The sequence below is a fragment of the Homo sapiens genome, chromosome 4 (genome assembly GCF_000001405.40).
Source record: "Homo sapiens chromosome 4, GRCh38.p14 Primary Assembly".
NCBI classification, from domain to species: Eukaryota; Metazoa; Chordata; class Mammalia; order Primates; family Hominidae; genus Homo; species Homo sapiens.
The window spans coordinates 121,402,188-121,430,119 of NC_000004.12; the positions used below are offsets into that span (position 1 = coordinate 121,402,188).

A 27,932-nucleotide genomic window follows, 5' to 3' on the forward strand; every position below is an offset into this window, starting at 1 on the left:
TGTATTCACTAAGAGTTGTGCAAATTGTTTCTTAGGAAATTAGAGATTTTTTTCGATGGTTATTTCCCCCTTTCATTTCTTTGTGTATTTATGTTTTTTTTTTTTCATTTTTACTTGATTAAGAAAACTAATGATTAATTTCCATTGTAATTTTTTCAGAGAACAAGATTTATTATAAATTGTTGCATGTGTTTGGTTTATTTTGATATTCTTTTTTACTTTTATGAGTTAAATGTTTTACTCTTGGTTTTATTGACATAACTATTGGAGGCTTTAGATTTTCTTTTTAGTGCTTTAAGGATTCAGATATGTCAAATTTTTATTTTAACTTTGTTTTAGAAATTCTGTAGTTTGGGATGTATTTGCCTTTTGACCCCAAATTTTTTTTGTTTTTATTAATAATAGGTTGGTGCAAAAGTAACTGAGGATTTGCCATTATTTTCAATGACAAAAACCACAATTATTTTTGCACCAACCTAATCTTATTGCACTTTGTGATCACACATTGTTGTTTATAACTTCTGCTTTTTGGAATTTTATTATTTTCCTATTGCTGCCATAACAAATTAACACAAAGTTAACATCTTAAAATAAGACAAATTAATTTTATTACAGTTCTGTAGGTCGTAAGTTAAGATGAGCTTGGTGAGTTCTCTGCTTGAGGTCTCACTAGCCTGAAATGAAGACATCAGCTGGCCTGGGCTGATGTTCTGGGGGAGAATCTGGTTCCAAGCTCATTTATGTTGGGGACAGAATTCAGTTCCATGTGGTTATATGACTGAGGTCCCCATGTCATTGGTGGCTAGAGGCTAAAAGCCAGTCTTTGCTCCTGGAGGCTGCCCATATTTCCTCCTCATGCTTTCTTTCAATGTGGCTTCTTCCAGCAATAACAAGGCAAGCCTCTCTTAGGATCTGAATCTCTCTGAATTCAACTTCTGCCTCATCTCCTTAACTTTACCTGGAGAAAGTTCTCTGCTTTTAAGTGTTCATGTGATTAGATTGGGCACACCCAGATAATTCCAAATAATCTCCCTATTTTAAGGTTTACAACCTTACTTACATCTGCAAAGTGCCTTTTGCCGTGTAATATATTCACAGGATCTAGGGAATCATGGCATAGACAGCTTTTGGGGGTCATTCTGCCTACAACAGGAACTTATCAAGGTTGCCTTTTGGACCTAACACATGGTAGAGTTTTTAAGTAGCTCATGTGCACTAGAAAAAGAAGGCTTTATTCTCTTATTGTTCAAAATTATATATATATACATTTTTTTGTGTGTATACACACACACACACACACACACACACACACACACACACACTTATAGGACCTCCTTTGTTCATTATTTGTTAGATCTTCTATATCCTTACCTAGTATTGTCCATTTGACCTGTCTTTGGACCAAGAGTAGTATGGTACAGTCTCTACCTTTTAGAGTTTTTCTGTCTATTCCTTTTCAAAGTTTCTGCTTTATATAGATTGTGTCTGCATTAAATAGTGCATAGATATGTATAACTTTATATCTCCATTGTAAATGGCAGCTTTAACATTATAAAGATCCTCCTTTTTCTTTATTAATGATTTGGCTGACTTCTGCCTAGTTAGATTTCAAGACTATAAACTTAAACTCTACTCTCATTTGCACTTGAACAGTACACTTTCTACCCATTTACTTTTAGAGTTTCTGAATAATTTCATTTTCAGTGTATTGTCTGTATGTGGCATAGAATTGTTTTGCTTTTAAGCTGATCTTATTTATTTTAATAGGTAAATTGAATCCATTTGCATTTATAAATATGACCAATATTTTTAATCTCTATTTTTTCAGTTATCTTATGTTGTATTTCCCATGTGTCTTTCATTAGTTTGTTTTGTTTATTCTATTTTAAATATTTTGGTTTAAATGTGCATAGTTTTGTACTAATGACTTTTAGACTAATACTTTTAAATAATTCTGTAGCCTTCCTTTTTCTTTACTTAGGCTTTTATTATTACATTTATTAGCTTTAAAAAATATCCTTTAACTACTGTCTATTATTTGTGCACCATCCATGAGCTAATTTTGTCTTCTCCTTCTCTTTCCCTTCTCCTTTCATTTTTTAGTTTTTAAAGCATATATTGATAAGCTTTTATTCCACATTTGTTTTAATCTAAGTTCTCATTAGTAGTTTTCTGTAGGTTTCCTGATCCGCTATGATGACGTTCATCTTCTAGTTGATTCCTTACAAAGAACATATAGATGAAATATATCCTTGAGTTCTTGCATATTTTTCTATGGCCTTTGTCTTAGTCTGCTCAGTGTTGCTATAAAGGAATACTGGAGACTAGGTAATTTATAAAGATAAAAAGGTTCATAGGGCTCACAATTCTGATGTCTGAAAAAGTGCAAGACTGTACATTTGCATCTAGGGAGGGCCTCAGGCTGCTTCCAGTCATGGTGGAAGGTGCAAGGGAGCCAGCACATGCAGAGATCACATGGTGAGAGGAAGCAAGACAAGGAGGAGGGAGGTATCACCCTCTTTTTTACATTCAGCTCTCTCAAAAGCTAATAGAGTGGGAAATTATTCCTGAGGAAGGGCATTAATCTATTCATGAGAAATTCATTCCCATGACCCAAACACCTGCCTTTAAGGTCTCACCTTCAACATCGGGGATCAAATTTCAACATGAGGTTTGGAGGGGACAAATAACAGCTTTAATACAAACCTTTTGCCTCCTTTAGTATGTTGCTGTTGAAAAGCATTCTTACAGTAACTTACTTTTCCTTCCTTTCTAAAAGACTTCATCTATTTGCTTGGAAGCCAGATAATTATTTGTCTTTGAGACCCCATTGTTTTACTATGATATGAATCAGAAATGAACTTCTGGATCATTATCAGGTATTTAGTGGATACAAGGGTACTTTCAGCATGTAAATGTAATGGTGTGTGTCTGTGAGTGTATATGTGTGTGTTAGAAAAGATTTCAAGTATAGTTTTAAATACAATATTCTTTCTAATTTTATTTTTTCTCTTTTTAGGAACTCAAATTATATATTATATAATATGAACAGAATCCTCTTTCCCCATATGCTATATGTCTTACTTTATTTTATTACTTTTCTTTTTTTGTCTTTTAAAAAATTTTGTTTTTCCATAGGTTATTGGGGTACAGGTGGTATGTGGTTACATAAGTAAGTTCTTTAGCGGTGATTTGTGAGGTTTTGGTGCATCCATCACCCGAGCAGTATACACTGCACCCTATTTGTAGTCTTTTATCCCTCGCCCCCCTCCCACCCTTCTCCCAAAGTCCCCAAAGTCCATTGTATCATTCCTATGCCTTTGTGTCCTCATAGCTTAGCTCCCACATACCAGTGAGAATATACGATGTTTGGCTTTTTTCGTTCCTGAGTTACTTCACTTAGAATAATAGTCTCCAATTTCATCCAGGTCGCTGCAAATGCCATTAATTCATTTTTTTAATGGCTGAGTAGTATTCCATTATGTGTGTGTGTATATATATATATATTATATATATATATATATTATATATATATATATATATATATATAATATATATATAACAGTTTCTATATCCACTTGTTGATTGATGGGCCTCTGGGTTGGTTCCACAACTTTGCAATTGCGAATTGTGCTGCTACAAACATGTGTGTGCAAGTATCCTTTCCGTATAATGACTTCTTTTCCTCTGGGTAGATACCCAATAGTGGAATTGCTGGATCAAATGGTAGTTCTACTTTTAGTTCTTTAAGGAATCTCCACATTGTTTTCCATAGTGGATATACTAGTTTATTTTCCCACCAGCAATGTAGAAGAGTTCCCTGATCACTGCATCCATGCCAACATCTACTGTGTTTTGATGATGGCCATTCTTGCAGGAGTAAGGTGGTATCACATTGTGGTTTTGATTTGCATATCCCTGATCATTAGTGATGTTGATCATTTTTTCATATGCTTGTTGGCCATTTGTATATCTTCTTTTGAGAACTGTCTATTCATGTCCTTAGCCCACTTTTTCATGGGATTTTTTTTCTTACTGATTTGTTTGAGTTTGTTGTAGATTCTGGATATTAGTTTTTGTCAAATGTATACATTGCGAAGATTTTCTCTCACTCTGTGGGTTGTCTATTTACTCTGCTGACTATTCCTATTGCCTTGCAAAAGCTCTTTAGTTTAATTTAGTCCTAGCTATTTATCTTTGTTTTTATTGAATTTGCTTTGGGTTCTTGCTCATGAAATCCTTGCCTAAGCCAATATCTAGAAGAGGTTTTCCAGTGTTATATTCTAGAATTTTTATAGTTTCAGGTCTTGGATTTAAGTTCTTGATGTATCTTGAGTAGATTTTTGTACAAGGTGAGAGATGAGGATCCAGTTTCATTCCCCTACATGTGGCTAGCCAATTATCCCAGCACCATTTGTTGAAAAGGATGTCGTTTCCCCAATTTATGTTTTTGTCTGCTTTGTCAAAGATCAGTTGACTGTAAGTATTTGCTTTTATTTCTGGTTTCTCTATTCTATTCCAATGGTCTATGTGCCTATTTTTTTTTTTTTGAGACAGAGTCTCACTGTGTTGCCCAGGCTGGAGTGCAGTGGTGAGATCTCGGCTCACTGCAAACTCCACCTCCCGGGTTCAAGCAATTCTCCTGCCTCAGCCTCCTGAATAGCTGGGACTACAGCCACACACCACCACACCCAGCTAATATTTGTAATTTTAGTAGAGACAGGGTTTCACAATATTGATCATGCTGGTCTCAAACTCCTGACTTCAGATGATCCACCGGCCTCAAACTCCCAAAGTGCTGGGATTACAGGCATGAGCCGCCACACCTGGCCTCTATGTGCCTATTTTTATACCAGTACCATGCTGTTTTGGTGACTATGGTCTTATCGTATAGTTTCAAAACAGGTAGTGTGATGCCTCCAGGTTTATTCTTTTTGCCTAGTCTTGCTTTGGATATTTGGGCCCTTTTTTGGTTCCATATGCATTTTAGAATTGTTTTTTCTCATTCTGCAAAGAATGATGGTAGTATTTTGATGGTTATTGTATTGAATTCATAGACTGCTTTTGGCAGTGTGGTCATTTTCACAATATTGATTCTACCCATCCATGAGCATGGGATGTGTTTCCATTTGTTTGTGTCATCTATGGTTTCTTTCTGCAGTGTTTTGTAGTTTTCCTTGTAGAGGTCTTTTGCCTCATTGTTTAGATATGTTCCTAAGTATTTTATTTTTGTTTTTGCAGCTCTTGTAAAAATGGTTGAGTTTTTTATTTGATTCTCTGCTTGGTTGCTGCTGGTGTACTGAAGAGGTACTGATTTGTGTACATTAATCTTCTATCCAGAAACTTTGCTAAATTCTTCCATCAATTCTAGGAGGTTTCTGGAGGAGTCTTTAGGGTTTTTGAGGTAAATGATCATATCCTCAGCAAAGAGCAAGTTTGACTTCCTCTTTACCAATTTGGATGAACTTTATTTCTTTCTCATGTCTAATTACTCTGGCTAGGACTTCCAGTACTATGTTGAAGAGGAATGGTGAGAGTGGGCATCCTTGTCTTGTCCCAGTTGTCAGCGGGAATGCTTTCAACTTTTCCCCATTTAGTACTATGTTGGCTGTGGGTTTGTCATAGATGGATTTTATTACATTCAGGTGTGTCTTGTATGCCTTGTATGCTGATTTTGCTGAGAGTTTTAATCACAAATGATGCTGGATTTTGTCAAATGCTTTTTCTGCATCTGTTGAGATGATCATGTGATTTTTGTTTTTAATTCTGTTTATATGGTGTATCACGTTTGTTGACTTACATATGTTAAACCATCCCTGCATCCCTGGTATGCAACCCATCTGATCATGGTGTGTTATCTTTTTGATATGTTGTTGGATTCAGTTAGCTAGTATTTTGTTATGGATTTTTGCATCTACGTTCATCAGGGATATTGGTCTGTAGTTTTCTTTTTTGGTTATATCCTTTCTTGGTTTTGGTATTAGGGTGATGCTGACTTCATAGAATGAATTAGGGACAGTTTCCTCTTTCTCTTTCTTGTGGAATAGTGTTGAAAGGATTGGTACCAATTCTTCTTTGAATGTCTGTTAGAATTCTGCTGTGAATTCATCTGGTCCTGGACTTTTGTTTGTCGGTAATTTTTTTTGGTACCATTTCATTCTTGTGGCTTGTTATTGGTCTGTTCAGGGTGTCTAATTCTTCCTGATTTAAGCTAGGAGGGTTGTATTTTTCCAGGAATTTATCCATCTCTTCTAGGCTTTCTAGTTTATGGGCAAAAGGTGTTCATAGTAGCCTTGAATGATCGTTTGTATTTCAGTGGTGTCCTTTGTAATATCTCCCATTTAGTTTCTTAATGAGATCATTTGGATTTTCTCTTTTTTTCCTGGTTAATCTTGCTAACGGTCTATCAATTTTATTTATCTTTTCAAAGAACCAGCTTTTTGTTTCATTTATCTTTTGTATTTTTTGTTATTGTTTCAGTTTCATTTAGTTCTGCTCTGATCTTGGTTATTTCCTTTATTCTGCTGGGTTTGGGTTTTGTTTGTTTTTGTTTCTTTAGTTCTTGAAGTGTGACCTTAGAATGTCAGTCAGTGCTCTTTCAGTCTGTTTGATGTAGGCATTTAGGGCCCTCTTAGTACCGCCTCTGCTGTATCCCAGAGGTTTTTATAGGTTGTTTCATTATTGTCATGCATTTCAAAGAATGTTTTAATTTCTATCTTGATTTTGTTTTTGACCTAGTGCTGATTCAGGAGCAGGTTATTTAATTTCCATGTATTGGCATGGATTTGAAGGTTCCCTTTGGAGTTGATTTCCAGTTTTATTCTACTGTGGTCTTAGAGAGTAATTGATATAATTTCAATTTTCTTAAATTTATTGAGGCTGGTTTTATGACCTATCATATGGTCTATCTTGGAGAAAGTTCCATGTGCTGTTGAATAGAAGGTGTATTCTGCAGTTGTTAGATGAAATGTTCTGTATATATCTGTTAAGTCCATTTCTTCCAAGGTATAATTAAAATCTATTGTTTCTTTGTTTTCTGTCTTGATGATCTCTCTACTGCTGTCAGTGGAGTATTGAAGTTCCCCACTATTATTGTGTTGTTGTCTATCTCACTTCTTAGGTCTAATAGTAATTGTTTTATAAATTTGAGAGCTCCAGTGTTGGGTGCATATGTATTTAGGATTGTGGTACTTTTCTGTTGGACAAGGCTTTTACCATTATATAAGGTCCCTCTTTTTCTTAACTGCTATTGCTTTAAAGTTTGTTTTGTCTGATATAAGAATAGCCACTCTGCTCGCTTTTGGTGTCCATTTGCATAAAATACCTTTTTTCACCCCTTTAAGTTTATGTAGCTCTTATGTGTTAAGTGAGTCTCTTGAAGGCAAAAGATAGTTGGTTGGTAAATTCTTATCCATTCTGCAATTCTGTATCTTTTAAGTGGAGCCTCTAGGCCATTTACATTCAGAGTTCGTATTGAGATATGTGGTACCATTGCATTGATCATGCTATTTGTTGCCTGTGTACCTTGGATTTTTGTTTTTTGTTTTTGCTTTTTAAGTTGTATTTTTGTTTTATAGGTCCTGTTTGATTGATAATTTGAAGAGGCCATTTTGATGTGTTTCTGGGATTCTTTTCAAGATTTAGAGGTCCTTTTAGCAGTTCTTGTAGTGGTGGCTTGGTAGTGGCAAATTCTCTCAGCATTTGTTTTTCTAAAAAAGACTATCTTGCCTTCATATATGATGCTTAGTTTTGCTGAATACAAAATTCTTGGCTTGATAATTGTTGTGTTTGAAGAGGCGGAGGATAGTGCCCCAATCCCTTCTAGCTTGTAAGGTTTCTGCTAAGAAATCTGCTGGTAATCTGATAGGTTTTCCATTACAGGTTACCTGGTGCTTTTGCCTCACATCTCTGAAGATTCTTTCCTTCATCTTAACTTTAGTTAACATGATGACAATATGCCTAGGTGGTGATCTTTTTGTAACGAATTTCCCAGGTGTTCTTTGTGCTTCTTGTATCTAGATGTCTAGGTCTTTAGCAAGCCCAGGGGAGTGTCTCTCGATTATTCCCCCAAATATGTTTTCCAAGCTTTTAGATTTCTCTTCTTCCTCAGAAACACTGATTATTGTTAGGTTTGGTCATTTATAATCCCAGACTTTTTGGAGGCTTTGTTCATATTTTCCATGTTTTCTTTTCTTTGTCTCTGTTGGATTAAGTTTTTTCAAAGACCTTGTCTTCATGCTCTGATGTTCTTTCTTCTACTTGTTCAATTCTATTGCTGAGACTTTCCAGAGCATTTTGCATTTCAATATGTGTGTCCAATGTTTCCTGAAGTTTTGATTGTTTTTTTCTTTATGCTATCTATTTCCTTGAATGTTTCTCCCTTCACTTCTTGTATTGTTTTTTGGATTTTCTTGCATTGGGCTTTGGCTTTCTCTGGTGCCTCCCTGATTAGCTTAATAACTAACCTCCTGAATTCTTTTTTAGATAAATCAGGGATTTCTTCTTGATTTGTATCCATTGCTGGTGAGCTAGTGTGAATGTTTGGGGGTGTTAAAGGGCCTTGTTTTGTCATATTACCAAAGTTGTTTTTTCTGGTTTCCTCTCATTTGGGTAGGCTCTATCACAGGGAAGGTCTAGGGCTGAAGGCTGTTGTTCAGATTCTTTTGTCCTACGGGGTGTTCCCTTGATGTAGTACTCTCCTTCTTTTCCTAGAGATGTGGCTTTCTGAGAGCTGAGCTGCAGTGATATCTCTCTTCTGTGTCTAGCTACCCAGCAAGTCTACCCAGCTCCAGGCCGGCACTGGGTGTCGTTCGCACAGAGACCTGTGATATAAACAGTCTATGGGTCTCTAAGCTGTGGATACCAGCACCTGTTCCAGTCAGGTAGCAGTGAGGTGAAATGGACCTTGTGAGGGTTCTTAGCTTTGGTGATTTAATGTTCTATTTTTGTGTTGGTTGACCTCTAGCCAGGAGTTGGTGCTTTCCAGAGAGCATCAGTTGTGGTAGTATGGGGAGGAACAAGTTGTGGGCAGGGCCCTAGAAATCCCAAGCATATATGCTCTTTGTCTTCAGCTACCTGGTGTGGATAGGAAAGGACTGGGTGGGGGCAGGGTCAGGCATGTCTGAGCTCAGACTCTCTGTGGTGGGTCTTGCTGCAGCTGCTCTGGAGGTTGGGGGTGAGGTTCCCAGGTCAATGAAGTTGTGTACCTAGGAGGATTATGGCTGCTTCTGGTGAGTCATGCAGGTTGTCAGGGAAGTGAGGGAAAGCCGGCAGTCAAAGGCCTCACCCAGCTCCCATGCAATCCAAAGGGCTGGTCTCACTCCCACTGTGCCCCCCTAACAACCTTAAGTCTGTTTCCAGGCAGGGGGCAAGCAGGGTTGAGAACTTGCCCCAGGCTGCCTGCCTCCCAGCTGTGAAAGAAAAGGACTATGGTTCTTCCCCCACCTGTGGAGCCTGCACACCAGATTCATGCCCTCCCCCTGAGTTCTGGCCAGCAGGCTTCTCACCCGGTTCAAATTGTTACAAAGTTCAGCTGGAGACTTCCTTCTTCCTGTAGTGTTTTCCCCTGCACCTCTGGCTGCTTTTTCAAAGGATCCCTGTGATGCCAGCCAGGAATGGCCTGTGAGCTTCCACAGCCTTTCCCGCTGCTTCCTCTACCCCTGTATTTCTCTCGGCTCTCTCAATTGACTCAGGTCCAGGTAAGGTCAGAAATTTCTCATGCAAACTAGACCTTCAGTTTCTCCAGTTGGGGGGCAGGTGTGTTCAGGAGCAGAGGCTCTCCCTTCCCTATTTTGGCAGTTTGGGCACTCACAGTATTTGGGGTGTCGCTCGGGTCCTGCAGGAGTAGTCCACTTCCTTCAGAGGATCTGTAGGTCCTCTTGGGATTCCTGGTTTGTTCTTGCAATTGTTCTGCAGCTAAAATTTATGATGTGAGCTTCCACACACTGCTCTATCCATCCAAGTTGGAGCTATAAGCTAGTCCTGCCTCCCATCTGCCATGATGCTCCTCTGCTTTTCTTTATTATAGTTTAATTCTTTAAATATTTTTTAAATAACACAATATTTGTACATATTTATATGGTACAGGGTGATATTTCAATTATACAGTGTGTAATGATCAAATCAGGGTAATTTGCATATCCATCACCTTGAGCATTTATCATTTCTTTGTGTTGGGAATGTTCAAAACTCTCTCTTCTGGCTACTTGAAAATATTCAGTAAATTACTGGGGTTTTTCTCAATTTTTATTTTTATAGATTTAGGGGTACAGTGCAGTTCTGTTACATGGATATACTGTGTAACAGTGAGGTCCAGGTTTTTAGTGTAACCAATGTACATTGTACTCATTAGGTAATTTCTCATCCTTACCCCTTTCCTACAGTCCCACCTTTTTGCATCTTTCATGTCTATAATTCCACTCTCCATCCATGCATACACATTATTTAGCACCCAATTATAAGTGAGAACATGCAGTATTGAGTTTCTGTTTCTAAGTTATTTCACTTAAGATAATTGCCTCCAATTCCATCCATGTTGCTGCAAAAGACATGATTGTATTCTTTAATGGTTGAGTGGTATTCCATGATGTGTATGTGCTGTATTTTCTTTATCCAATCATCCATTGATGGTCACTTAGTTGATTCCATATCTTTGCTATTGTGAATAGTGCAGTGATAAGCATATAAGTGCAGGTATCTTCTTGATATTATGATTTCTGTTCCTTTGGGAAGATACCCTGCAGTAGGCTTGCAATTATTATTAATATAGTCATGCTACAATGCTACAAAACACTTGAACCTATTCCTCTTATCTACCTGTAATTTTGTATCCTTTAATCAGCCTCTTCCTATTGTCCCCACCACTCTTCCCAGCTACTTCCCAGTAACCACTATTCTGCTCAATATTTCTGTGAGATCAACTTTTTTAGCTTCCACATAAGAGTGAGAAAAATGCAATATTTATTATGTGCCTGGCTAATTTCACATAATGTTCTCCGGGATCATCCATGTTGTTACAAATGACAAGATTTTGTTCTTTTTAAAGGCTGTATAATATTACTTGTCCATTATGTATATATACCATATTTTCCTTTTTAAAAAACATTTTTTATTTCCATACGTTATTGGGGAACAGTGGTTATTACATTAGTAAGTTCTTTAGTGATGATTTGTAAGATTTTGGTGCATCCATCACCTGAGCAGTACACATTGCACACAATTTGTAGTCTTTTATCCCTCACCCCCTTCCCACGCTTTCCTTCTGAGTCCCCAAAGTCCATTGTGTCATTCTCATGCTTTTGTATCCTCATAGCTTAGCTCTTACTTATGAGGGAGAACATATAATGTTTGGTTTTTCATTCCTGAGTTACTTCACTTAGAATAATAGTCTCCAGTCTCATCCAGGTCACTGGGAATGCCATTAATTCATTAATTCATTCATTTTTATGGCTGAGTAGTCGTTCATCATATATACATACATACACACACACACACACACACACACATATATATATATCTCACAGTTTCTTTATCCACTCATTGATTGATGGGCATTTGGGTTGGTTCCACATTTGCAGTTGCAAATTGTGCTGCTATAAACATGCGTGTGCAAGTGTCTTTTTCGTATAATGACTTCTTTTCCTCTGGGTAGATACCCAGTAGTGGGATTGCTGGACCAAATGGTATTTCTACTTTTAGTTCTTTATGGAATCTCCACATTGTTTTCCGTAGTGGTTTTGCTAGTTTACATTCCCACCAGCAGTGAAGTGTTCCCTGTTCACCACATCCATGCCAACATCTATTATTTTTTCATTTTCTGGTTATGGCCATCCTTGTAGGAGTAAGATGGTATCGCATTGTGGTTTTGATTTGCATTTTCCTTATAACTAGTGATGTCAATCATTTTTTTGTATAGTTGTTGGCCATTTGTATGTCTTCTTTTGAGTACTGTCTGTTCATGTCCTTAGCCCACTTTTTCATGGGATTGTTTGTTTTTTTCTTGCTAATTTGTTTGTTGTAGATTCTGGATATTAGTTTTTTGTCAAATGTATAGATTGTGAAGATTTTCTCTCACTCTGTGAGTTGTCTGTTTACTCTGCTGCCAGTTCCTTTGGCCATGCAAAAGCTCTTTAGTTTAATTATGTCCCAACTATTTATCTCTGTTTTTATTGAATTTGCTTTTGTGTTCTTGGTCATGAAATACTTGCCTAGGTCAATATCTAGAAAAGTTTTTCCAATGTTATCTTCTAGAAGTTCTGTAGTTTCAGGTCTTAGATTTAAGTCCTTGATCCCTCTTCAGTTGATTTTTGTATAAGATGAGAGATGAGGACCCAGTTTTATTCACCTACATGTGGCTTGCCAACTATCCCAGCACCATTTGTTGAAGAGGGTGTCCTTTCCTCACTTTATGTTTTTGTTTGCTTTGTCAAAGATCAGTTGGCTATAAGTATTTGGTTTTATTTCTGGGTTCCCAATTCTGTTCCAATGGTCTGTGTGCCTACTTTTATACCAGTACCATGCTGTTTTGGTTAATATGGCCTTATAGTATAGTTTGAAGTCACGTAGTGTGATGCCTCCAGATTTGTTCTTTTTGCTTAGTCTTGCTTTGGCTATGTGGACTCTTTTTTGGTTCCATATGAATTTTAGGATTTTTTTTCTAGTTCTGTGAAGAATGATGTTGGTATTTTGATGGGAATTGTGTTGAATTTGTAGATTTTTGTTTCAATACGGTCATTTTCACAATATTGATTCTACCCATCCACGAGCATAGAATATGTTTCCATTTGTTTGGATCATTTATCATTTCTTTCAGCAGCATTTTATAGTTTTTCTTGTAGAGGCCTTTTGCCTCTGTGGTTAGGTATGTTCCTAAGTATTTTATTTTATTTGCTGCTATTGTAAAAGGGGTTGAGTTCATGATTTGATTATCAGCTTGGTTGCTGCTGGTGTATAGAAGAGCTACTAATTAGTATACTTTAATTTTGTATCCAGACACTTTGCTGAATTCTTTTATCTGTTCTAGGAGCTTTCTGGAGGAGTCTTTAGGGTTTTCGAGGTAAATAATCGTATCATCAGCAAACAGCAACAGTTTGACTTCCTCTTTACAAATTTGGATGACCTTTATTTCTTTCTCTTGTCTGATTGCTCTGGCTAGGACTTCCAGTACTATGTTGAAGAGAATTGGTGAGAGTTGGCATCCTTGTCTTGTTCTAGTTGTCAGAGGGAATGCTTTTTAACTTTTCCCCATTTAGTATTATGTTGGTTGTGGGTTTGTCATAGACGGCTTTTATTACATTCAGGTGTGTCCCTTGTATGCTGATTTTGCTGGTGGATTAATTTTTTGATGTTGTTGGATTTGGTTAGCTGGTATTTTGTTATGAATTTTTGCATCTATGTTCATCAGGGATATTGCTCTGTAGTTTTCTTTTTTGGATATGTCCTTTCCTGGTTTGGGTATTAGGGTGATACTGGCTTCATAAAATAAATTAGTGAGGATTTCTTCTTTTTCTAACTTGTGGAATAGTGTCAATAGGATTGGTACCAATTCTTCTTTTAATGTCTCATAGAATTCTGTGAATCCATCTGGTCCTGGACCATTTTTATTGGTAATTTTTTTATTACGATTTCAATCTCACTCTTGTTATTAGTGTGTTCAGGGTATCTAATTCTTCTTGATTCAAGCTAGGAAAGTTGTATCTTTCCAGGAATTTATCCATCTCCTCTTGGTTTTGTAGTTTACGCATCTAAAGCTCTTCATAGTAGCCTTGAATGATCTTTTGTATTTCTGTGGTGTCAGTTGTTATATCTTTAGTTTTGTTTCCTATGAACTTATTTGGATTTTCTCTCATCTTTTCTTGGTTAATCTTGATAATGATCTATCAATTTTATTTATCTTTTCAAGGAACCAGCTTTTTGCTACATTTTTATCTTTTGTATTGCTTTTTTCTGATTTCAATTCTTTTAGTTATGCTCTAAACTTGGTTATTTCCTTTCTTCTGCTGGCTTTGGGTTTTGTTTGTTTTTGTTTTAATAGTTCCTTGAGGTGTGACCTTAGATTGTTTGTGCTCTTTTAGACTTTTTGATGTAGGCATTTAGGGCTATGAACTTTCCCCTTAGCACTGCCTTTGCTGTATCCTAGAGGCTTTCACACGTTGTGTCACTACTGTCATTCAGTTTGAAGAATTTTTAAATTTCAATCTTGATTTCATTTTTACCCATTGCTCAGTCAAGAGTAGGTTATTTAATTTTCGTGTATTTGCATGGTTTGGAAGATTCCTTTTGGAGGTGATTTTCAGTTTTAGTCCACTGTGGTCTGGAAGAGTGCTTGATACAATTTCAATTTTCTTAAATTTATTGAGGCTCATTTTATGGCCTATCATATGGTCTATCTGGGAGGAAGTTCCATGTGCTGATGAATAGAATGTATGTTCTTCACTTGTTGAGTAGAATATTCTGTAAATATCTGTTAAGTCCATTTGTTACAGGGTGTATTTTAAATCCAATGTTTCTTTGTTTACTTTCTGTCTTGATGACCTAATGCTGTCAGTGGAGTATTGAAGTCCCCCACTATTATTGTGTTGCTCTCTGTCTCATTTCTTAGGTGTATTGGTAATTGTTTTATAAATTCAGGAACTCCAGTGTTAGATGGATATATATTTAGGATTGTGATAGTTTCCTGTTGAACAAGGCCTTTTATCATTATATAATATCTCTTTTCGTCTCTTTTAATTGCTGTTGCTTTAAAGTTTGTTTTATCTGATATGGCTACTCCTGCTTGCTTTTGGTGTCAGTTTGCATGGAATGTCTTTTTCCACCCCTTTACCTTAAGTTCATGTGACTCCTCATATGTTAGGACTCGTGAGGTAAGAATTGGTAAAATCTTATCCGTTCTGCAATTCTGTATCTTTTAAGTGGAACATTTAGGCCATTTACATTCAATGTTAGTATTGAGATGTGAGGTATCATTCCATTCATTGTGCTATTTGTTGCCCGTGTAATGTGGTTTTCTGGCTTTTTTTTAATGTATTTTTGTTGTATAGGTCCTGTGAGATTAATGCTTTAAAGAGGTTCTGTTTTGATGTGTTTCTAGGATTTGTTTCAAGAGTTAGAGCTCCTTTTAGCAGTTCTTGTAGTGCTGGCTCAGCAGTGATGAATTCTCTCAGCATTTGTTTTTCTGAAAAAGACTATCTTTCCTTCCTTTATGAAGCTTAATTTTGCTAGGTACAAAATTCTTGGCTGATCATTATGTTGTTTGAGGAGGCTGAAGATAGTGCCCCAGTCCCTTCTAGCTTATATGGTTTCTGCTTAGAAATCTGCTGTCAATCTCTTAGGTTTTCCTTTATAGGTTACCTGGTCCTTTTGCCTCACATCTCTTAACAGTCTTTCCTTCATCTTAAATTTAGTTTACCTGATGACAGTGTGCCTAGGTGAAGATCTTTCTGTGATGAATTTCCCAGGTGTTCTTTGAGCTTCTTGTATTTGAATGTCTAGGTCTCTAGCAAGGCCTGGGAAGTTTTCCTTGATTATTTCCCCAAAAATATTTTCCAAACTTTTAGATTTCTCTTCTTCCTCAGGAACACCAATTATTCTTAGGTTTGGTCATTTAGCATAATCCCAGACTTCTTGGGGACTTTGTTCATATTTTCTTATTCTTTTTTCTTTGTCTTGTTGGATTGGGTTAATTAGAAAATCTTGTCTTTGAGCTCTGAAATTCCTTCTTCTGTTTGTTTGATTGTGCTGCTGAGACTTTCCAGAGGCTTTTCATTTCTATAAGTGCATCCATTGTTTCCTGAAGTTTTGACTTTTTTATATTTATACTATTTCTGTTAATATTTCTCCCTTAACTCCTTGTATTGTTTCATGGATTTTCTTGCACTGGGCTTCGCCTTTCTCTGGTGCCTCCCTGGTTAGCTTAATAAATAACCTCCTGAATTTTTTTTCAGGTAAATCAGGGATTTCTTCTTTGTTTGAATCCATTGCTGGTGAGCTAGTGTGATTTTTTTTGGGTGTATTAAAGAGCCTTGTTTTGTCATATTACCAGAGTTAGTTTTCTGGTTCTTTCTCATTTGGGTAGGCTGTGTCACAGGGAAAGCCTGGGGCTGAAGGCTGATGTTCAGAGTCTTTTGCCTCACAGGGTATTCCCTTTATGTAGTACTCCCCTCCTTTTCCTAGGGATGTGGCTTCCTGTGAGCCGAGCTGCAGCATCTCTCTCCTGGGTCTAGCCACCCAGGAAGTCTACTTGGCTCTGGGCTGGTACTGGTGGTTGTCTGCACAGAGGCCTGTGATGTGAACCATCTGTGAGTCTCTCAGCCATGGATACCAGCACCTCTTCCAGTGGGAGTGGCAGTTGGGTGAAATAGACTCTGTGAGGGTTCTCTGCTTTGGTTGTTTAATGCACCATTTTTGTGCTGGTTGGCCTCCTGCCCAGAGGTGGTGCTTTCCAGAGAGCATCAGCTGTGGTAGTGTCGGGAGGAAGAGGTGATGGGTGGGGTGCTATTACTCCTAAGAGTATAAGACCTTTGTCTTCAGCTACCATGGTGGACAGGGAAGGACCACTAGGTGGGGGCAGGGCTAGGCTTGCCTGAGCTCATACTCTTCTTTAGTGGGTCTTGCTGTGACTGCTGTGGGGGTTGGGCGTGAGGTTCCCAGGTCAATGGAGTTATGTTCCTCAGAGAATTATGGCTGCCTTTGCTGTGTCATGCAGGTTGTCAGAGAAGTGGGGAAAAGCCACCAGTTACAGGCATCACCCAGCTCCCACACAACCCAGAGGGCTGGTCTCACTCTTACTGTGTCACCCCCAACAGTACTGAGTCTTTAGGCAGTCGGGGAGCAGAGCTGAGAACTTGCCCAAGGCTACCTGCCTCTCATCTGCAAAAGTAAGTAGGGCTTTCATGCTTCCCTCACTTGTGGAGTCTACACACCGGATTCACTTCCTCCCTCGAGTTCTGGCCAGGATACTTCTTGATCTGTTCAAGTTGTTACAGTTCAGCTGGAGGTTTCTTTTCCTGTCACCTTTTCCCAGTACCTCAGGCAGCCCACCCGAAGGACCACTGTGAAGCAAGGGAGAAATGGCTTGCCAGCAAGCCTACGGGGCTTTTCCCGCTGCTTCTTCTACGTCTGTATTTTACTCAGTTCTCTAAACTGACTCAGCTCCAGGTAAGGTCAGAATCTTCTCCCATGATCTAGACCTTCAGGTTCCCCAGTGAGAATGTGTGTTTGGAGGCAGATGGTCCCCCTTTCTCATTTCCACACTTTGGACGCTCACCATATTTGGAGTGTCTCCCGGGTCCTATAGGAGCAATCTGCTTTCTTCAGAGGGTCTGTGGGTTTTCTCTGTTTTCCTGATTTATTCCTACAGTCATTCTGGAGCAAAAGTTCACAATGCAAGCCTCCACATGCTGCTCTGTCCATCTGAGTGGGAGCTGCAATCTAGTCCTGCCTTCCATCTGCCATACTCTCTATACCGTATTTTTTTATATAAATCTGTCTGTTAATGAATACTTAGGTTGATTTCATATTTTTGCTACTGTGAATAATGCTGCACTAAATAGGAGTGAAGATATTGCTTCAATACACTGATCTCCTTTCCTTTAAATGTATATCCAGTACTGGGATTAATGGATCATATGGTAGTTTTATTTTTAGTTTTTTGAGGAATCTTTATACTGTTTTCCATGGTGTCTGTACTAAGTTACATTCCCACCAACAGTGTATAAGTATCCTGTTTTCTCTGCATCTTCACCAGCATTTGTTATTTTATTTTTTATTTTTTGTCTTTTTGATAATAGCTATTCTAACTGGGGTGAGGTGATCTCATTTTGGCTTTTATTTGCATTTCCCTAGTGATTAGTGATGTTGAAAATTTTCATATACCTGTTAGACATTTGTATGTCTTCTGGAAAATGTCTACTTCACTCATTTGCCCAGTTTTTAAATTGGATTTTTCTTTTTTTCTTTTTCTTTTATTTTTGCTATTATTTTACTTCCTTGTATATTCTGGCTATTAATTTCTTGTCAATAAATAGCTTGCAAATATTTTCTCCCATTCTTCAGGTTGCCTCTTCCCTCTTTTGATTATTTCCTTTGCTGTGCAGAAGCATTTTAGTTTGATATAATTCCATCTGTCTTTTTTTTTTTTTTTTTTTTTTTTTTTTTTTTTGGTTTGTTGCTTGTGTTTTGAGCTCTTATTCGTAAGTTGTTATTTTTTTTTCCTGGCCTTTGTCCTGAAGCATTTCCACTATACTTTCCCTTAATTTTATAATTTCCAGTCTTACATTTAAGTCTTTTGAGTTGATTTTTGTATATGGTGAGAAAGATGGATCTGATTTCATTCTTCTGAATGTGGATATCCAGTTTTTCCAGCATCATTTATGGAAGGGACTGTCTTTTCTCCAATGTACATTCTTGGTAGCTTTCTTGAAAATCAGTTGGTTGTAAATGTATGGATTTATTTCTGTCTTTTCTATTCTCTCCCAATGGTTTATATGTCTGTTTTTACAACAGCATCCTGCTATTTAATTAATATAGCTTTCTAGTTCATTTTAAAGTCAAGTGGTATGATGCTGCCAGCTTTGTTTTTTTTGTTCATGATTGCTTCGGCTATTCAGAGTCTTTTGTGGTTACATACAAATTTTAGAATTGTTTTTCTATTTTTGTGAACAATGTCATTGGTATTTTGATAGTGATTACATTTAATCTGTAAATTGCTTTGGGTAATATGGTCATCTTAACAATATTAATTCTTCCAATCTGTGAATATGGTATGTCTTTATTTTTTTTGTGTCCTTTTCAAATTCTTTTAACAGTGTTTTGTAGTTTTCATTGTAGAGATGTTTCACCTCCTTGGTTAAATTTATTCCTAGCTATTTATTTTTTTTACAGCTATTATAAATTGAATTGCTTTCTTGATTTATTTTTCATTTAGTTTATTATTGGTATATAGAAACATCACTGATTTTGTACATTACAACTTTACTTAATTTGTTTATCAGTTTTAAATGTTTTTTGTTAGTCTTTAGGCTTTTCTACATATAAGATCATGTCATCTGCAAACACGGGCAATTTGATTCCCTTCTTCACAATTTATATGCTCTTTATTTCCTTCTCTTGCCTTCATCTTTAAATTTTTTTTCTCCCCATCTTCTGTTCTTTGCCATTCTTTTCGTCATATCTTTTCTCCCTTGGGCACTTGTAATTAAGTGCTTATTTCTTAGATGTTTTTGTCTTTCTAAATTTCTTTCCTGAGTTTTGTCAGCATGTGTTCATACCTTGTTTTTACATTTCTATTTCTGGCCTTTGAATTTATTATTTTTCTGTTCTTTTATATCAGCAATTGCTTGTTCAATAACATTAAACGAAATTTAAATTTATTTATGTTGCAGTGTTGCTCTGCTTCTTGCTTTTCTTCTCTTTATTTATCTATCTCTCACTTTACCAAAATGTTTTGGTAATTATTTTCTGCTTCATAATTATCGGAAATTATAGTGGGTACTTGAGTGGTATTTTGTTTGTTTGTTTGCTTGATTTTGTTCATGTTTGTGTAGCGACTATACGGACCAGAATAGCAAGGGAGGAGTTTAGGTGATTAACTCAGTTTTTCTATTTCAAGAGTGCCCTCTAATGTTGCTACAGCGAAGTGCAGTTTCTTTAACAAATAGCTCTTTTTTGTTGTTGTTCTGCATTTTTCTTAGTTTTGATTCTATCTTGTTTTGGTAGAATATTTCATCTTAATCACTTTCTTCTTTTTTTCTCTTCATCATCAAACATTCAAGGAAACTTTCTGTTTCTGAGAAGCCTACTTATCCCAGAAACAATATCTTCCCGTAATAGTTGCCTATTGCTGCAAACAAACAACCCCAAAATTTAATGATTAAAAATAATAGTTTCTTTGTTTATGATTTTCTGTGATATCTGGGCATGGCTCTTTTGGGGCAACTTGCCTCTGTTTCTCATGGTGTCCACTGGGCCTATCCGTACAGTGCAATTTGGGCTGGAAGATCCAAGATGGCTTTGACTCCTTAGCTGGGATGGCTGGAATGCCAGGGCCTCTTTCTCCTGTGGGACTTTATCCCACAGGATAAAGACTTTCTAACTCTCCTCTACTCTCATGATTTTTTCTTTTCTTTTTTTTCCCAACACGGAGTCTCGCTTTGTCGCCCAGGCTGGAGTGCAGCGGCACAATCTCGGCTCACTGCAAAGTCCGCCTCCTGGGTTCACGCCATTCTCCTGCCTCAGCCTCCCGAGTGGCTGGGACTACAGGCGCTCCCCTACCACTACCGGCTAATTTTTTTGTATTTTTAGCAGAGACGGGGGTTTCGCCGTGTTTGCCAGGATGGTCTCCATCTCCTGACCTCGTGATCCGCCCACCTGGCCTCCCAAAGTGCTGGGATTACAGGCGTGAGCCACCGCACCCGGCCTCCTCTCGTGATTTCTAACTGAAGGTCATTTTTGTCTTAATGCAATCTCCGACAGGAGAGCTGGATTTCTTTACAGGGTGCTCAGAACTCCAACAGGGCACAGATGCAAGCTGTACAGTCTTCTAAGATCTAGCTTCAAAAGTTATATAGTCTCACTACAACATTCATTTGTTCAAAGCAAGTCACAATGCAAACCCAGATTCAAGACTCTACTTCCTAATGGGGGGAGTTTCAAAGTCACATTACAAAAAAAAAAAAAAAAAGACATGAGTGATGGGAGAGTTGTTATAGTTACCTTTGGAAACAATCTATCATGTTTCTCCAGACTGATGCATCTAGTCTCTAGTTCCATATACTTTATAAGCTTTTTATTTTTTGTAGCCCTTGCCAAGTCCTACCAGGGCTCAGATCTGTTTCCAGTATTCTTTTTCCAACTTGAAGTAGACTCTGTAGGTGAACCCTAACTGATGTTATCTGTCTTCCGCTGCTGCTATGACCCCATTGTACCTGTGTTCTCCTCCCTTTTGTGTCATTCCTACTTGACTTCACTCAATCCTCAGCTCCACAGCCGACTATACTATTCTTGGATGATTACTTCCACTCTCAAAAATAAATTGAAGTTTATAGAATTTATTTATCAGTTATGCTACAAATGGCTTAGTTATGTAGCAATAGGCCATTTCTCTTGCCATAGATATATAGGTAGAGAGAGAGAATATACATACATATATAGATGGATGGATGGATGGATAGATAAATGATAGGATAGATAGTTGGAAAGATTCAAATTTAGGCAGCTACCATTGTCCTATCTATCTTGTCTTAAAATTGAATCCTCATAGTTACAAATCTGAGATAGAGGATTTGCAATTCCATATGTCTTTAAAAATGTGTTATATTTTATATTTAAGTGCTACCTTAAATATTCTAATATATTAAAAAGCTTTATATTTGAAGACTATGCAAAAGTATATGCAGAATTTCCAGGCTATCTTTGGTTTTGATGCCCCCTAAGGTTAAGGTTTTCTTAGAGGTAATAGGAAAAAATTTAAATGGACGTAAGAGTAGAAGAGACTTTCACCAAAGGTTGTCTAGGTTTTTGTTCAGTGAATGGACATATTATCTCATTCCATCAAGTGACACCAAAATGCTTTCCAAGTCTTGGTCAATCACTAGCATGGAAATAAGAAGGAAAAGATATCATCCACAGATGATCCTGGGAAAGGCTGTTACTTGTCCGGATGCCCTGCCTGAAAAACAGCATGGTCTTAAAAGCATTTTAATGCCCAAATACACTTTAAACATTTTAATTGTTCTTTTTCCAAAATTAAAATTGAGAAACATATAATACCTAGTAGATATTACTGAACACTATATACATTTTAAATTTTCAAATTCTTTTTGCCCACAAAACTTTATTAGCAAACTTAACCCAAGGTTTTAAGAATTTTCCAAACTAAATTAATTGTTCTTATTCCAAAGATGAAAATGCAGTGCACCCAGCAATCAAATGGTACCAAGTAAGTGGAGAAATAATTTTTCTCTCTACTAAAGTCCTGCAGGTAGCAACTGAACATCTACTGAGTGGATTAAAGATAATCTGTTATTTTTCCTTATCTAGGTAAAGGTTGAGAGACTGTCTTGCCTAGAGAACAGAAGGCAATATGGTTAGCCTCTCAAAAGTAGAGTATTAGCCAGGTAGGTATTATAGATGCAGTTTCTTTAATTGTTAACAGTAGTTTATTTTTCTTCATTATAACTGAAATACCTTCTTACTCAAACTGTGATTGATAAATCAGCAGCATTGACATCACCTGGGAGTTTGTTACAATTATAGAAACTCAAGTACTATAGAATCAGAATCTACATTTTAACATGATCCACAATTGATTTCTAGTCACATTAGAATTTGAGAATCATTGGTATAATTTGTTCTTAAAAGACCTGACTCTTTAGGTAACCCCATAAGAAAGATACCTGTTACAGCAAGATTATTACTTACAATTTATAATAGATTCAGAATTTTTTTGAAATAGTAATGAAGTCCACAAATTGCATACCACTTAAATGAAAACTATTGTTGTTAAAAATATACAAAGATCAAGAAGAAATAGCCTTCACCTGTAAAGAACATACTAACATACAAGAGCTTTTTAAAATTAGGGATATAATCCCAAAACAAGACACTTAGAAATAATTTCTATAAGAGATCCATAGGCTATAGAGGCAGCACTGAGGAGGTCAAGGAAGACTACATAAAGGAGTTAGCATTTGAACTGGTCTTTCAAGGACAGAGAGAATTAAAGATAATGATGATGAGCAAAATCTTAATAGGCAGGAAAACCCAAGCAATTTATCTAAAATAAAGTGTACTTATAAAGGGGCATAAACTAAAAGCTAGGAAGGTAGGATAAGACCAGATATATTGTAGGCCCCTTCTCCAATTTAGTCCCCTCTTCTCATGGTAACAATCAGCATCCAAATGTGTAGGGTGTTTAAAATGTAATTTGTGGTAAAGGGGGAGGTTTTAGAACTAGACCAAGATATAGACCAAATCTTAGTTTTGACTTTTGTTAGATATGGGTCCTTAGTGAAATCAGTTGAACCTCTGAGCCTCATTGAATGTGGGTTATATTAATTCATGCACATAAAACATTCAGCATGATGCCTGGTACCTAATAATTATTATGTATGATATTATTATTATTATGTATGATATTTTATTATTATGTATAATTATTATGTATGATAACATTATTCTCTCCTTCTGGGTTTTGGTATCCTGCCAGTTTTATCACCTGCCAAGTAGTGCAGTAAATATTTCATGCCTTCATTAGTTTTGCTCTGGAGTTATAGAAATCCCATGTGAAAATGAAATAATAGCAAAGAATGCATCTCTATCTCTCCAACAAAATGTGATATAGCAATTCCTTAACCAAAAGTAATGAAAAATGCCTTAGATCTTAGACAGAGAATCATGTTATGTTAGAAGTTCTAACTATCATAAAGCATTAAGCCCCAAAGATGATTTCATCTCATCTATAAAATGGGAATAAAAGCCTACTTTTCAAAGTTGAAGGAAAGATAAAATTACATATATGAATTTTTACATCATTCAGTACAGGGCCTAGCATACAGTAAACATTGCATAAATGAGAGCTATAATCAACAATAATAATTACTATTTTATCAATAAGCTAGATAAGCAGCTCTTATCCCAGTTCCACTTGAGTGCATCCCTTTTAATGCTGCTTAGTAGAAAAGTAGAATGGAACCTACAGAAGTGGACAGTGTTTAAGTTTTCCTGTCCATTCAAGCCCTGCAACTCTTCACTGGATGACTTTGAGAAGTCTCTTAAAATTCTTTTTTGCCTCTCTACTGAAACCATCCTTGACAAGATCATGAAGTGTCTCTGCGTCAGCAAATCTAATCACTGAGTCTTGGTCCTCCTCTCACTTGACGTTTTGGCAGGATTTGATAAAGCTGATACTCTCTCCTTGACAAACTTTCTTTTTTTTATTTTAATAGCTTTAGGGATACAAGTAGATTTCAGTTACATGGATGAGTTGCATAATGGTGAAGTCTGGGTTTTTAATGTACATGTCACCTGAACAGCGTACATTGTACCCAGTAGGTAACGTTTTATCCCTCATTCCCTTCCCACCCTCCCCACTTCTGAGCTCCAATGTCCATTATACCACTCTGTATGCCTTTGCATACCCATAGCTTAGCTCCTACTTATAAGTAAGAATATGGGGTATTTGGTTTTCTATTTCTGAGTTAGTTCACTTAGAACAATGGCCTTCAGTTCCATCCAAGTTGCTGCAAATGACATTATTTCATTCTTTTTTATGGATGAGTAGTATTCCATGGTATAAATATACCACATTTTCTTTATCCATTCATTGGTTAATGGCCACTTAGGTTGATTCCATATTATTGCAATTGTGAACTGCCTGACATACTTCCTTAAAGCTTCAGCGACATCACTATTTTCCTTGGTTCTTCTTCCACATAACTTGCTGCTCTTTCTACCACACTTCTGTGAGCACCTCTTTTCTTAACTCTTGATGTTGAAGTACTCTAGGGATAGGCAGCACTTCCTTTATCTTCTCTATCTACTACCAACTAACTCCGTGCTGAATGTGTTCAGAGCTATGGCTTCAAATGTAATTATAGCTAGATCACTACCCAATGTATATCTGTAGCCCTGGCCTCTCAAGTGAGCTACATACTCATATCCATATCCAATTTCCTAGCCTGATTTCCAGGGCTGCTATAACAGATTACCACAAAGTTGGTGGCTTAAAACAACAGATATTTATTCTCTGACAGCCCTGGAGGCCAGAAGTCTGAAACCAAGGTGATGGCAGGACTGTGAACCAACTGAAGGCCATAGAGGAGAATCCTTCTTGCCTCTTCCAGCTTCTAGTGACTTCAAGCATTCCTTGGTTTGTGGCTGCATAACTCCTATCTCTGCCTCTATCTTCACATGGGCTTCTCTTCTGTCTTGTGCCTGTGTCTTCTCCTCTCTTGTCTCCTTGTCATTGGATTTAGGGTCATCCAGATAATCCAGATAATCCAGGATGATATCATTTAGAGATCTTTAACTTAATTACAACTGCAAATATCTTTTTTTTTCAAATAAAGTTATATTCATAGCTTACAGAAATTAAAACGTGGACATATCTTTCTTAGGGGCCACTATTCAACTTACAACACAAATCATCTGCAGACTCTACTTACAAATATTAATATAACCCAATCCCAACCACTTCCAACATTTTCATGGCTTCCAATCCAGTTCAGCCACCATCATCTCTTGTCTTTGCATGCCTACATAACTGGTCTCCCTGCTTCTGCCTCTTCATAGTCAATTCTCTCTTCATTGCAGAGTGGTCTTTCAAAATGCAAATAGGATCACGTCTCTTTCTTCCTGAAATTTCTTCAATACTTTCCCATCATACTTAAAATCCAAAGTCCTCACCAAAGGCCTCCAAGGCCCTACAGACTCTGGCCTCCCCCAGCCCTCCAAGCTCATCTTCTACTACCATCTTCCTCTGTCACTCAGGCCAAGCCATGGTGGTTTATTGCTCTTCCTTCACTACCCCAGGTGTGTTTCCCTTGGAGCCAGGGATATATTCTTCCCCCCACCGACTCCCACCAGTCTCTCTCCCATACTTCTTTCAGGTTGCTGCTCAAATAGCATGTCTTCAAAAGACCCTCTCTGACCACTGTTTCTTATTTATTTATTTATTTATTTTTTTGAGGCAGAGTCTCTCTCTGTTGCCAAGCTGGAGTGCAGTGGCGCGATCTCGGCTCACTGCAACCTCTGCCTCCTGGGTTCAAGTGATTCCCCTGCCTCAGCCTCCCAAGTAGCTGGGACTACAGGCACACACCACCACGCCTAGCTAATTTTTTTGTATTTTTTAATAGAGAAGAGAGTTCACCATGTTGGCCAGGATGATCTCGATTTCTTGACCTCGTGATCCCCCTGCCTCGGCCTCCCAAAGTGCTGGATTACAGGCATGAGCCACCACGCCCAGCCTCTGACCATGCTTTCTAAATGCCCTCATCTGATCACCCTCTATTGCCTTATCCTGCTACTGTTCTGTGTAGCACTAATCACTACCTGCCATTGTGTGTCCCCTTTACCACCCCCGCTATGTCTCTTTCTTTAGAGCTGAGGCTTTGTCTTCTTCACCTCTGTTTCCATAGTACCTATAGCAGTCTCTGAAGAATCACAGGTATTGAAAAACTATTTGTTGAATGAATAAATGAAAGAATAGTTCCTACAAAAGGTCAAAAAGGCAGGAGATTTTTGGGTGCAACAAAGGCATACTAATCTACAACATACTTTTCTTCATGTGTCTATTAATTTAATTTTGAATTTACATAAGAGATAAACTGGCAATTCCCCTCTTTTTTCCTATTCTTTTTCTGTAAATAAGGCAATAATATATCTTAGATATGTGGTGCACAGAGAAGGCAAAAGGAAAACTTGAGGTAATTACCTAATTCAAAATAGAGGCATATTTGTCATTTCAATTATCTGAATATTTCACCAATGTTTTGGAGAGGCTTAAAATATTTCAGTAGTGGCTTGAGTTGCTTTATAAGCACTACCTTAGAAAAGAAGATATTTATTAATTAACAAGCTTTTTCACCTACCTCTCTTCTTTTATGTCTTTTACCAGTTTTCATTCATCCAGGATTGAAGCATCACAAAAGAGGGACTCCTCCCTATTTGGACAGTTTCGTTTGTTTTTATTCCTACAAAAAGTGGCGATCTTAAGGTTATATGAGTCATTCAGGAACTAAGTCAGCACATGCATGCATGCAAGCAGTGTAGTGTTCATTCTGGACACAGAACCTGACATTTAGAAGTCTTAATTTTCCCTGCTCACAGCAATTAGTTTGTAACAGGGCTACCAGTGTTCTTACTGTAGATTAATTGAAAATTTCTCTGGTCTTGCAGTGGTACTTTCATGGTAGGTCTGTGCTAGATAGATAAAAAGGGGTCTGGAGCCAAGATGAGGCTTGCAAATCTGAGAAGGTTCACCCTTGACCTACCCCCAGTGGGTAATCCACCTCTGATAAACACTATAGTCTTCTAGAGCACAGTTTCATCTGTAGGTTTGTTTTTGTTTTTTCTTTCTGGTGATGAGTAATTTAAAACTTTTATAAGAAGTTTTTACATAAATTTTAAAGATAGAATCCAGATTTCAAAGATATAATATACCTATAGTGGACCTCAGAATGCCTAAACTGTGGAGGGCACCTTTACTCTCCTCTGTGGGAAGGAGTGTTTCCATGGAGACATTTCAGCAGCACTGGCAGATAACACTATGTTCCAGAAGCATTAGTCAGGAGCACAATTTCTACCTGAATTTCCACTCTAAATGGTTATCCCATTCAAAGCTTTGAGTTAGCGTATACAGAAAGTTATAATACACCTGCCCAGTATCCATAATCTAAAAAGCAATTACAATCAGAACAAGTAACAATTGACCAAGAAGCAATGGACAGAGAGACATTTTAGAGCCGGGAGATGCTGTTCAGAGGTTCTTAAATGGTACTTCTTTAAAATCTTAGTTTTCAGCACATTAGACAAAGTAATTTAAATCTAATGTTGAACACTGACACTTTTTTTCAGTGCAAAAAAATACTTAGCCAGAGGATAAAATCTTTGGAATTTCAAGCTTTCTAAAGAAAGCAATCGCCAGGTGTGGTGGCTCACACCTGTAATCCCAGCACTTTGGGAGGCCAAGGAGGGTGGATCACCAGGTCAGGAGATCGAGACCATCTTGGCTAACATGGTGAAACCCCGTCTCTACTAAAAGTACAAAAAATTAGCCAGGCATGGTGGCGGGTGCCTGTAGCCCCAGCTACTCTGGAGGCTGAGGCAGGAGAATGGCATGAACCCAGGAGACTGAGCTTGCAGTGAGCCGAGATCGCACCACTGCACTCCAGCCTGGGCGACAGAATGAGACTCTGCCTCAAAATAAATAAATAAAT

General features: G+C 37.4%; 1 long non-coding RNA gene across 1 annotated transcript in view, besides 3 other annotated features; it reads left to right on the top strand.

Annotated features, from left to right (window-relative positions):
- LOC107986309 (uncharacterized) overlaps positions 1-27,932 on the top strand; it is a 123,175-nt gene that overhangs the window by 9,751 nt on the left and 85,492 nt on the right. The window lies entirely within an intron of this gene.
- Positions 8,751-9,278: an enhancer, noted in NCBI's record as "H3K27ac hESC enhancer chr4:122332093-122332620 (GRCh37/hg19 assembly coordinates)". NCBI's record gives its function as "activates a minimal SCP1, AML or CMV promoter by ChIP-STARR-seq in primed H9 embryonic stem cells {active_cell/tissue: H9 hESC(primed)}" and the evidence as "EXISTENCE:reporter gene assay evidence [ECO:0000049][PMID:30033119]".
- Positions 16,099-16,600: an enhancer, noted in NCBI's record as "H3K27ac hESC enhancer chr4:122339441-122339942 (GRCh37/hg19 assembly coordinates)". NCBI's record gives its function as "activates a minimal SCP1, AML or CMV promoter by ChIP-STARR-seq in naive H9 embryonic stem cells {active_cell/tissue: H9 hESC(naive)}" and the evidence as "EXISTENCE:reporter gene assay evidence [ECO:0000049][PMID:30033119]".
- Positions 16,601-17,100: an enhancer, noted in NCBI's record as "H3K27ac hESC enhancer chr4:122339943-122340442 (GRCh37/hg19 assembly coordinates)". NCBI's record gives its function as "activates a minimal SCP1, AML or CMV promoter by ChIP-STARR-seq in naive H9 embryonic stem cells {active_cell/tissue: H9 hESC(naive)}" and the evidence as "EXISTENCE:reporter gene assay evidence [ECO:0000049][PMID:30033119]".